Source organism: Homo sapiens, chromosome 1, assembly GCF_000001405.40.
Source record: "Homo sapiens chromosome 1, GRCh38.p14 Primary Assembly".
Lineage (NCBI taxonomy): Eukaryota > Metazoa > Chordata > Mammalia > Primates > Hominidae > Homo > Homo sapiens.
This window is the reverse complement of record NC_000001.11, coordinates 33,660,205-33,672,875: the sequence shown is the minus strand read 5'-3', so window position 1 is coordinate 33,672,875 and position 12,671 is coordinate 33,660,205. Positions and strand designations below refer to the sequence as shown.

The 12,671-nt window shown below is 45.7% G+C and overlaps 1 protein-coding gene across 12 annotated transcripts in view; it reads left to right on the top strand.

Annotated features, from left to right (window-relative positions):
- CSMD2 (CUB and Sushi multiple domains 2) overlaps positions 1–12,671 on the top strand; it is a 651,845-nt gene that overhangs the window by 492,967 nt on the left and 146,207 nt on the right. For all 12 annotated transcript variants that reach the window (XM_047443685.1, XM_047443656.1, NM_052896.5 and 9 more), the window contains one exon: positions 9,784–9,986. In XM_047443685.1, the coding sequence (XP_047299641.1) occupies positions 9,784–9,986 (203 nt within the window). The remainder of the gene's footprint in view (positions 1–9,783; positions 9,987–12,671) is intronic.

Genomic DNA, 12,671 nt, shown 5'->3' with positions numbered 1-12,671 from the left:
TTTGCTGGAGGTCCACTCCAGACCCTGTTTGCCTGGGTATCAGCAGCGGTGGCTGCAGAACAGCAGATATTGGTGAACTGCAAATGCTGCTGCCTGATCGTTCCTCTGGAAGTTTTATCTCAGAGGAGTACCCAGCCGTGTGAGGTGTCAGTCCGCCCCTACTGGGGGTTGCCTCCCAGTTAGGCTACTCGGGGGTCAGGGACCCACTTGAGGCGGCAGTCTGCCCATTCTCAGATCTCAAGCTGCGTGCTGGGAGAACCACTACTCTCTTCATAGCTGTCAGACAGGGACATTTAAGTCTGCAGAGGTTACTGCCGCCTTTTGATTGTCTGTGCCCTGCCCCCAGGGGTGGAGCCTATAGAGGCAGGCAGGGCTCCTTGAGCTGTGGTGGGCTCCATCCAGTTCGAGCTTCCCAGCTGCTTTGTTTACCTACTCAAGCCTGGGCAATGGCAGGCGCCCCTCCCCCAGCCTTGCTGCCGCCTTGCAGTTTGATCTCAGACTGCTGTGCTAGCAAGGCTCCGTGGGCGTAGGACCCTCCGAGCCAGGTGCGGAATATAATCTCCTGGTGTGCCGTTTGTTAAGCCCATTGGAAAAGCGCAGTATTAGGGTGGGAGTGACCCGATTTTCCAGGTGCCGTCTGTCACCCCTTTCTTTGACTAGGAAAGGGAATTTCCTGACCCCTTGTGCTTCCCAGGTGAGGCGATGCCTCGCCCTGCTTCGGCTCACACACGGTGCACTGCACCCACTGTCCGGCACTCCCCAGTGAGATGAACCCGGTACCTCAGTTGGAAATGCAGAAATCACCCGTCTTCTGCATCACTCATGCTGGGAGCTGTAGACTGGGGCTGTTCCTATTTGGCCATCTTGGCTCCACCCCCCTTTGCATGTCTTTCCAATTTGCAATGGGATAGAGATAAACTGCCTATAAGCAGGGAGGTGGGAATCATTTGTTTGTTTGTTTTTGTTTTTGTTTTTAAAAAATACCTAGTGTGTCCAAGTTTCCTTCAGAGTAAAAGAACTGAGGACCGTGATCTCAGAAGCAAGTTTTGCCTGTGGGCAGCACTTGAGAGGGACGGGCCCCTGCAGTGAAAATCCACTGTCCTCCCAGCTTCTTAGATTTAGGCTCTGGTAGAAAATCTCCTGTTGCTGAAGCTGAGTGTTGTGAACCTTACACTAGCCTCAGCAAAGCACAGTGGAGTCTCAGAGGGGGCTGGTGGGAAGAGGTACGGGAGTGAGGGCCAGGTGGGTCCACCCTTAGCTAGGGCCTGCTATTGGTTGGTGGGGGCGTGGGTGTGGCAGTGGGAGGTGGAACTCTGAAAACACTTTGAGGAAAGGCATGTGGAGATCTCAGACTTGAACAGGGTTATCTGCACATCCCAGGGTGTCCCTGCAGCCAGCAATGAAGTCAAGATCCAGCCCCCGCAGAGCAAGCAGAATTTCAGGGCAGCCCCACCAAGGAATGGGAGGGAGAACCAGGGGCCCAGTGAGACCCAGTTACCTGAGCTGGCATACTTGCTGGAGTTAGACTGCAGATTATCATGAGTGCCCAAGATGCAACCTAGGCAAACCAGATACCAGACTTAGGATGATGAGACCAACTCAAAAGCCCTCCTTTGGTGGAACCCCTCCCTCACTGCCCTCAGCCCTGCCCCAGCACCAAGGAAACTGCTCTCACTAGGAGAATGGGGACCATGAATTCCTCACTCCTCTGCAGCTTGGACATTATCACCATTCCCTGAGCCACGGCTTCAGGTCTCAGCCACCCGCATTTCATGCTTTGTCTTCCTGAAGAGCTTGTCATTTCCTGGGTGGGCCAGCCTCTACATCCCCTCTGTGTCTTTGCATACCCTATTTTCTCTGCCTGCATTCTGTCCCCTTCTCACCCTCCTCACCCACCCCCTTCATCTGGACTCATCCTGTTAATCTCTCATCTCTCTTTTCTCTTATAAAGATATCAAGACTCAGCTCAGTAGTTACCTCTCCCAGGAGGCCTGGTCTCATACCCTTGGCCTAAGTTAGGGGGCTTCTCCGTACATACCTTTACTGTAGACTGTACCACATGCAGGGGTGGAAGCATGCCATATTCTTATCTGAATCACCAGTGCCTAGTATGCTATCTGAACCTAGTACTTACTATTTATAGATTTAAAGTATGACTATCAGTATCACTGTAGGCTCAGGGAACCTACAGGGCTGGATTTTAAAAGTGTGAGACCATGGTTGCAGTATCCCAGTTTCTCCCAGATTTAGATTCAGCAGTGAGCTCTGGCCCAGGTTCTGTGTGGCTAGATTCTATGTCTTTGGTAGTGTAGAGCACCAAAGATACAGCTGTAAGATCCGAGGGGCTAGATGTGGATGGTAAAGGAAGAGCTCAGAACTTCCAGAGAAATAGGAAGTATCCTCCTTAGTATATAGGATTTGTTTAAGTTGCCTCTTGTAGAGTGACAGATGCTTGGCAAGGACAGTGGGTGAGTTTGGATGAACCACAGGGGTCCCTGAAAGCTGGTGAGCCATTCGTTCATTCATCAATTCAGTCAGACAACATTCACCAAGGGGCTAGTACAGGTCAGGCCTCATGCTGGGTACCAGAGATATAGAAGTGAATGAGACACTGGCACAAGAGTTAAGGGATTCAGCAAGACAGGGAAGTCAATGGATGACTCTGATAGAGCAGGAGCCTGTAGAGGGAGCATCTCACTAGACTGAGGGGATGGGGAGGACAAGGAGAAGCCTGTGGAAAAGCTCCCCACTGGATGTGAGGCACCTACCAGTACACATCAGTCAGGGGGTAGAAGAATTTACTAGGGCTGCTGTAACAAACTGAATAGCTTAAAATAACAGAAATGTGTTTTGTTCACAGTTCTAGAGGCTAGAAGTCCAAAATCATGTTCTCAATGGGCCAAGATCCCTCTGGAAATACTGGGGAAGAATCTGTCTCATGTGTCTCATAGCTTCTGGTGGTTGCCAGGAACCCTTCGCATTCCTTGTGTTGCAGACACATTACTTCTATCTGTGCCTCCATCACATGGTCTCCTTCCCTGTGTCTCTCCTGTGTCTCTGTATCCAAATCTCCCTCTCTTTTCTCTTACGATATCAGTCATTGGATTTACGGCCCACCCTAATCCAGTATGCCCTTCTTGTCATAACTTGATTACATCTGATTCTATTTCCAAATAAGGTCACAGTCACACAGGTACCAGGGGTAAGGACTTGAGCATATCCTTTTGGGGGACACAAGTCAACCCGCTACAAGTGGCATGGGGCCATTTGCAGGGGGAACTTCCAGGCAGAGAGAAGGCTCTGAAGCAAGAGAATAAGAAGGAAATCAGTAAAGGGTTAGAAGAATGGGAGAAGGCAACTGGGGAAGCCCAGGGGGGACTTGGTGTGTCCCCTCGGAAGTCTGACTTTATCCTGTAGAGAAGGAGGAGAGACTGGGTCAGAGGAGTGGTTCAGAAAGATAGACGTGGTCCTGATGGAAAAGGTGGATTGAAAGGATGGGAGGGGAACTGGATCCAGGAAGGCCAGTTACTCTTTCGATTCCTCTTAATTTGCTTTTCCCTCTTTTGCCATCTTTCTCTCCCTCAATTTCTCCACACTTTCCTTTCTTCAAAACTGTTTCAAAGACACTGCCTCCTTGAAGCTTTCCTTGCCTCTTCAAATTAAAAGAAAAAGAAGATGGTGTAAAAGAAAGGCCTTTGGTACCAGACAGACATGGTTTGAATACCGTCTCTGACCCTTGCTAGTTGCCTCTGTTAATCCCTTGGAACTTCAGTTCCTCCACAGCAAAATAGTGAGAATACACTCTCAACTGCAGGGCTTTATGAGGATATTCAGCAATGTACATAAAGCAGTTGGCACATGGGAGATTTTCTACAAACGTTTAGCTCTTTTTGTCCTCCGGTTATTTTGATAGCATCTTATTTATTCCACTCTTTAGCACCTATTGCACATATTATTATGTTTTGGGTGTCTCCTTCAGTAAGTTTCCTCCAGGGCAAGCACAGAGCCTTGCACATTTCTGCAGCTCTCAACACAGAGCTTGACATGCAACATGCTTCATTTCTCTTCCCTGGAAATGGCCTGTTTTGTGTTTGTGGTCCAAAGAAACGCACACACAGACAAGCAAGTCATCAATAGGAAGGAAGATCTTTTCACCTCTTTCCTCCACTTCAGTTTCTCCTACCTAGGGGCACAGTACAATGGGGAGGGGAGCTGCAAACTGTTCTCAGGATATCAAAAGCCAGAAGAAGACCCAGTGTTCACCTACAGGGGAGCTGCTCACACAAACCACAATGGCTGTTTTGGCCTGGAATTATCTCTGTCGATCAGAACTGCTCATTAGCATTTATAGACTCTGATTTCTATAAGATAAGTATTCAATAAGAGTCTTAATAAATGTGGTTGGGTTGGCAAACCAAGTCTTTACTGGCCATCATCAAAGGTTTATAATAAAAGGGGTCACTGGCCCCCTGTGGCAGCCCCTAGCTAATTTCCCTGCATCCACTCTTGCCCTTGTCAATCTTTTCTTACCCAGGCACCAAGAGTGATCGCAAAATGTAAATCGGAACCTGTCAGAGCTCAGCTTAAAATATACCAATGACTTCCCTCAGCTCCTATAGTACACACCAAACATCTCCCCCCATCCACGGAGTCCCGCCAGCCCTGCCCCTGCCTACCTCTCCTGGCCCAGTGTCGCCTCCATGGCCTTTCCATTGTGACCTTTGCACATGCTCTCCTTTATTCACTGCAGGCTTCCTCCCACCTCTCACCCCTCCTGCTCTCCATGTGGCTTGGCATCTTGCTTAAATGCCACTTCCTTAGAAGGTCTTCTCCGGCCACTCTGTCTAAAGTGGATGCTCTGCCTCAGCACTCTGCCATGTCCTGCCCTGTGCTAGACACAGCTGATAATTTTTTAGTGAGTTTGTGTCTGGGGGGTTATTGCCCATCTCCAGAAGCTCCCGGAGAATGGCACCCTGTCTGTCATCTTCACTGTTATACAGCAGCACCCCGCATATGGGAGGCGCTTAAGTGAATGAGTGCCGAAAGGGGCTTGAACTTTAGCCTCTGTCCTTTCCGTTGCCAACTTGTATTGTTCGTGCACACAGAGAACCCCGCCTTCTCCTCCCTTCTTCTGCACTCCTCTCCGCAACATCAATGCCAAGCCTTTGACTTTGTCTGTTTATCAGATCAGCTAAGCCGAATGCAATCAACTGGCATTTTTAATTCATATCAGCTTACGTATGACTCACATATAAACTGTTGATGATTGATAGAGCCTCTCCAGCCCCTGCCTAGCTCTCAACCACAGCCTCTTCCTCCCAGAGATGTGGGCAGCATTGTTAGGAGAGAGTAGAAGCACTAAGGTCTGACCTGGATTAGTATTAAATAATAGCAATTCCAGCTTACTGTCTAACCAGCCCATGACCTTGTGCAAGTTACCTACCCTCTCAGAGCCTCAGTATTCTCATTGTTAAAGATGAGACTAGTCCTAGCTACAAAATAAAGATGCTTGCATGGACTCCATGGGCTAATGTGAAAGTGCCTTATACACAGTGGTTGTTATGGAAACACGTTTTCCTTCATGTCTATTTAGTCCCCATATTCTTGCTTTTCTCAGCTTCGTGTCAGACTGGGGTTTCATTCGTTCATTCATTGATTCACTCACTCATTCATTCAGTTGTTCACCCTCAGGATTTCACATGGCCTCTAGAGTCAGTCTCTAACTAGAATACAATAAAGCCCAAACTCCCATAGCTAATTTTGAGACTCATTCTCTTCCCTCTCTCAATCAGCTGTATTCTCTATGGCATCCTAATACCACCTGAACTCAAGTATGGAGTTGCCTTTCTTCCCGGACAGCTTCACCTCCTCTCTGCCTCCAGGTCTTATCTCATGTTATTAAATCCAAAGAAAGCACTCTCCTTTCACGCCACCTAAACTTCAGGTCTCATTTCCTTTTGCCTTCCCTGATGAGTGTGGCCCACACCGATGTCTTTTCTGAGAGCACGTACAGCCACACCACACGGCTGGCACTCGGTCTCCTCTTGGCTGCTGATTTCACAGTGCATTGATCACCACAGAGAAAGCAGAGAAGGCAGGGGGCAGCCTGGCACAGCAGTGAGTATGTGTGTTTGTGCTCTGTCCTAGGGATCTCCTTCTCCTCTTTTCAAATCAAATGTGGGGCCCCAGCCTTACACAGGTCCTGGTTTTAAGGAATCCCCTCCTATATCTATAAAAGATTCTACCTAGGAAATCCAAGAGATTCTGTTGGTTTCTAATAGTACTAACTAGTGACCGAAAGTAAGAAACACACACACACACACACACACACACATATATATATCTGACAATAAATAACTAGAAAATGTAACTAAACATTAAATCTCATTCACAATAGAACCAAAACCATAAACTTGTGGACTGCCAAAGAGGAAATTTAACAAGAGGTGTGCAAAGAAGAAAACCATAACAAAGATGAAAAACATAAAACTTTGCAAAGTACATAAACTAAGTTATCTACAATGTTCCTGGCTGGGGAAAATTAGTAACATAAAGATATCAATTATCTCCAAATTAATCAATGTGTATATAATCCCAATCAAAATCTCAATCACATTTTTTTGGGACTTGGTAACCATAAAGTTTATCTAAAAGAGTAAATTTGGGAAATTAGTAAGTTTTAGGGAAAAAATCAAAATTTGAGAATATGGAAACCCAAGTAAGGTGAGTAGCTACGTTCCTGGTACCACAAGTAGATTCTAGTATAGGGAAAGGAGAGATCACTGGACTTGAGAGAAGAGTCCAGAAACAGCCCGCAACTAAGGGGATATTTCAAATCAGTAGGGAGAATCAGGATTCTTCAGCTATGAGCGTGTCATCATCCATGGGTATCATGAGCACCATCCAAAATGTCAGATACATCTTAGGCAAACAAGGCCTGGTTCCACACTCATGAAAATTATGATCTAGTTAGGGAGAAGCATAGTCTACAAATAGGTACACTAAAGATAGACTGGTAGATGCTACGGAGGGAGTAAACAGATGTTTTGGTAGGCAAAGTGTGGAAGAGGCTACTTTAGATAGGTGTTGGGAGAATTGAGTGTCAATTTGGAAGAGTAATGAACTTGTTAGCCTCAAAAAATGAAACTAGCCAGGTGCAGTGGCTCACACCTGTAATCCCAGGAATTTTGGAGGCTGAGGCAGGAGGATTGCTTGAATCCCAGCATTCAAGACCAGCCTGAGCAACACAGAAAAACCCCATCCCTACAAAAAATAAAATTAGTCAAACATGGTGGCATGTTAACTGTGGTCCCAGCTACTCAGGAGGTTGTAGTGAGTTACGATTGCACCACTGAACTCCAACCTGGGCAACCAGATAGGCCCTGTCGCAAAAAAAAAAAAAAAAAAAAAAAAAAGAGAGAAGAAAGAAACTATACAAGTCCCAGGAAAGTATTAAAGTTTTGATTAAAGTTTTGTTTTGTTTTTGAATCGTTGGGTCGGGGAGAGGTCTGCCCAAGCATAACATGACATCCAGTATCCTTAAAGGAAAATATTAACGTATTTGGTTACATAAAATTAATCACTTCTTACCAAAATGGATACCACAAACCAAAGTTAAATGAGAAAAAGTCACCAGACACTAGGAGAAAAGATTAGCAACAAATATATCATATAAAAGAGAAATCAAAAATATAAGGTAAATAAAAGTCATAATATATAAGTAGAATTTCAAAAGTTTGCATCCATCAATTAAGATGGATAAAGAATTTGAAAGCTACAAATGCCCAGTAAATATGTGCAGAGATACCCAACCTTACTAAATCATCTAAACTCAAAACTGCCAGAGAGATTCCACTGTGGTCTAGCAGATGGGGGAGTATTTTCGTAAAGAATATATTTACAACATTATAATATCTAATGCTGATGAGGTGAACTTTAGAGAGAATAGTAACATCAATACTGATTAGTGCGAATATAAATTGAAACAATCACTTGAGAGGATAATTTAGCAAGATTTATTTTAAAATTTTTATTTATTTTATTTTCTTTTTATTTATTTATTTATTTATTTTTGAGACGGAGTCTCGCTGTGTCGCCCAGGCTGGAGTGCAGTGGTGCAATCTTGGCTCACTGCAAGCTCCACCTCCCGGGTTCATTACATTCTCCTGCCTCAGCCTCCCAAGTAGCTGGGACTACAGGCGCCCGCCACCTCGCCCGGCTAATTTTTTGTATTTTTAGTAAAGACGGGGTTTCACTGTGTTAGGATGATCTTGATCTCCTGACCTCGTGATCCTGACCTCCTGACCTCAGCCTCCCAAAGTGCTGGGATTACAGGCATGAGCCACCGCTCCTGGCCTAAAATTTTTAAATAGATGCCCTTCTTCCCCTAGAATTACTTTGGCAAGTCAACTGAAATATTAGCAGAAATGCACAAAGCTACATAAAGATGCAAATGTTCCTTGCAATTTCATGTGAAATTGTGTTATATAACAATGTCCATTTCTGCAGAAAAATGAGGGTGATGTTTTTGTCCATGATATAGTATTAAATGAAGAAAGAAAGTTATAGAAAACTACATAAAATATGTCTCATTTTGAGGGAACAATATATTTGCGTGCTCATTGAAAAAAACTCTGGAAGCATATGTACCAAACCTACTATTAATTGAATAGCTCTGGAGAACAGGTTGGCTGTGTGAAAGAGAGACTTTTTTAAAATTCAGTACATCTGTATATTGTTTGCCTTTTCTCTGCCTTGAGTATGTCTTATTTTTAAAATTTAAAAAGATATTTTTAAAAAGAGATAGTGATAAATGGATTGGATCCTGGAACACAAAAAAAGACATCAGTGGAGAAACTGGTGAAATTCAAATAAAGTCTGGAGTGTAGTTCATAGTAAGTATGCCAACATTGCTTTCTTAGTCGTGACAAATGCACCGTGGAAATGTAAGATGTTAGCAATAGAAGAAATGGTGAAAGGTCTATGGGAACACCGTATTGTCTTTGCAACTTTTCTGTAAGTCTAAAATTATTCCACAATAATAAAAAAAATTAATTAACAGAGAGAGTCACACAGGCTTGTAGCCAAGGTATCTTTGGCTGTTGGAATCTTTGGTTCCAGAAAAATTCAGGTTACTACTTGAGCTCCCTTGCTCTGAGAGCTCTATCTCTGTCCTGCAGACCCCCACACAGGGAGACTCCCACCTGGCCTCCTGAGGTCTGCAGAGATTATCTAAGCCAGGCCTACATATAGCTAATATCCCCAGAATTCTGCTCTGGGAAAGCAAGGTATGAGGTCACCCCTACCTGCACCATGGCTGGGCCAGCTTCTCAGAGACTCCACAGTTCCCCCTGCCCTCTAGCCCCAATTATTTTTTTTTTTTTACCTATATCCTTTGTCCAAGCCAGATCCTGCCTTCTCAGTATTCCCCTTCCAACCTAGAATGGTAACAATATGGGCTCAGGGAGAGGTCTGCGGGCTATGTAAGGTTGAGGAGAGGGATGCAGTCTGACAATGGCAACATGGAGCTCATAATAAGAAAAGGATGCACAAAACCTACACCTCGCACCCTTGTCCCCATTGCTGGAGGCCCCAGTGGGAGGAGCTGGCCTGGTGAAATGAGGATGCTGCCAGACGCTGCCTTCTCTCCCCTCCTGCTGGGCTTCGGAGGTTTAGGGCTTTGTAGGTTTAGGGCCAGTCTTCGTAGGTTTAGGACCTTCTGACCAGAAGCCCCTGGAAAGAAGGGCTGAGTCCAGATGACCACTGCCTCTTCTCTCCGTGCAGGCTACACTTCCTGGTGTTTGACACAGAGGAGGTTCACGACGTGCTGCGCATCTGGGATGGGCCTGTGGAGAGCGGGGTTCTGCTGAAGGAGCTGAGTGGCCCGGCCCTGCCCAAGGACCTGCATAGCACCTTCAACTCGGTCGTCCTGCAGTTCAGCACTGACTTCTTCACCAGCAAGCAGGGCTTTGCCATTCAATTTTCAGGTCTGTGCGTGCCCTCTGCCAGCCCCACTCCACATGTCCTGACACATGGCACCCACCTTCCTCTGGCCCTCACTTTCCTTCATCCCTCAGTCCATGTAAAGATAGTTATTGAACATCTGCTATGTGCCTGGTACATGGTTAGCACCTGTTCAAATGTCTGTGCTGAGCTCACTCTGGTAGGGAAGACAGGTGGGTTAATAGACACATACAAATAGGTAAGCATCTGGATGGAGACATACGGTCCATAATGGTCACCTTGGAGCATCAAGGAAGATGTTCCAGAAAAGATGATGTCCAAGCTCAGACCCAACGGACAAGTAGAAGTTACTCAAGAAAAGAAAGTGTTTCAAGGAGCAAGTAGTCATCTATGACAAGGAAAGGTGCCACTGAAATGGACTTTGGAGGACTTGTGCACCCCTATTAGATGGAAAAGAGAGAAAAGGGCATCCTAGGTGCAAAGAACACATGAACAAGTGTAGATGCAGGAATGTGGGCTTTGGAAGTGGAGGGCTACCCCATGTGGCTGAAGCACAGGGAGCAAGGAGGGATGTGGGAGGTACAAGTAGACGGTGGCTTGGGGCATGGTTATGAATAAGCTGATGGGACATGCTGCACGCTCAGGTTCTTAGTTGAGTGCAGATCTCAGCAAAGACTGGAAGTGAACATGAGTCATCTAAATTTAATTAATTAGGCACTGCAATAGCCAATTATGGAGGAGCATGACAAAGAGCTACCCAAAATGGCCAATGCTCAAACATCCAAATCCCAGTATGAGATAATTTATATGATTGGTCCTGCCTCTCCCTGGAATGCATCATCTCATCTCCTCTGAAGTGCCTCTTCCATCATTCCTCCCCCTGATCAAGTGACTCTGCTTCGGTTTCTGCTCGTGTTTATTATACAGCAGCTGTCTTCATTACCATCTCCTTACTCCACTGTGTGTGTGGTGGGAGGGAGGGGGGGAGTTTCCATGGTGATTCCAGAGCAATTTCTTGTGGCACCTGTGCCGTGGCTTTGCCCCCGAGCTCTTTCCCAGTTGGTGTATCAGCTAAGGGTGGTTGGGGTATATCCCTGGCACCACTGAGATTGTTACAGAGTTGCAAATCCTGCTTCTAGCTCTTTTCTGCTACGTCTGTCATCTCTGTGGAAATAAGCATTTAGCAGCGTGGGGAGCAGATGAGAGTCTCCAGGATCACATTGCTTTATACTTATAAATTTGTCCATTTAACACTCATGCATGCTTCTAGTCTAGCATTTTCCATCTATTCCTAAGAGTTCCATGGAATACTAATTGATATTGCAAGAAAAAAGAAGTTTGCATGATCAAGTGATGCTGGGGAGGTGCTCAGGCTGATGCAGACCCAAGGAAATGATCTGCAATATGGGGCCTCTGAGAACGTTTGCTATGCTAATGCCCTTAAATTCAAAAGATGTCTGGTAGGCCACAATTTCCAAACATATTCCATCATGGATGACTTTTTTCAAGGCCATCTCAAGAGACTAACATTTCGTGGAACAAACTTGGGAAGTTGCTGGAATAAGCAATGGAAGGATCTCCCAGCAGTAAGGAGGGTAGAATGCTAAAGAGACGGCTCGATCCACTCTCTGGGGAAAGAAGTATTATGAATAATTAAAGCCAGACATATTTTCTCCAACTGCGCCCAAGCTGATGGGTGCGGCTTAAAAGAAAAGAAAAAGCCCATAATTATGCTGACAAATTCACCCACAGATTTGCATTATCTGACCTCGACTGCATACTCAGTGTAGCCACGCGGGACAGAGTCCCTGGGTGCTCTCCTATGCTGTATGCAGGCTGCTTTCTCATGCATTGCCCAGCTCATGGAAGTCCTATTCATCCTTCAAGGTTCATCTCAGATGCCACTGCCTCCTAATCTCCCCATTCAGAGTAAAACTGCTATAGCCCACGGCACCCTGGCACTTTACTTCTATTTATTCAATACCAGGCATTCTGTCTCGTCTTGAAGCTGGGCACCTACTTGACATCCCACTAAAAGCTCTTAGAAGACAGGGTCATGCCATGCCTCCCGACTCTCTCATAGTGTATGTATGCAGCAGGTGCTCACTCACAGCTTAGTGAGCAAATGGGCACATGAAGATATGAACACATGAATGGATGGTTTTCTCTAACAGAAGGGTTTCCTTGGGCAAGCTGCCCTTAGCATTGCTTAGGCAGAGTAGCATGGTCAAAGCTACCTAGCCTGGGCTCCAGAAAGGTCATGACAGCCTGGCCCAGTGTTATGGGCATAACCAAGGTTTGGGAAAGGTCACCTTCCCTGTTGCTGTCATCAGTTAGCAAATACCAGGACTACTCTAGGGAAGAGAGAACGGCTCACCCCATGTTAACTTTATAGTGTGTATTTGACAGGGGATTGTACAGAAATGCCAGGGACGATTAGTGCAGGCTTGGCTTTATTAAGTAAACATGACTGTGTAACATCTAACATCCTGTCTGTACCACGTGGATCCAGCCTTTCCCCGGGTGCTTTGCCAAGCAGCTCCAATTCAGGAGCATTAAAGAGAGAAAGTGAGAACAAAAAAAAAGGTGAGCGGGAAGCATAATCACAGCCATTCCTATTGAGTGGCTGCCACACTAAGCTCTCCACTACATCAGCTCTTACAATTTTCACAAAACCCTTACAGTATGGGCACCATTATTACTCCATG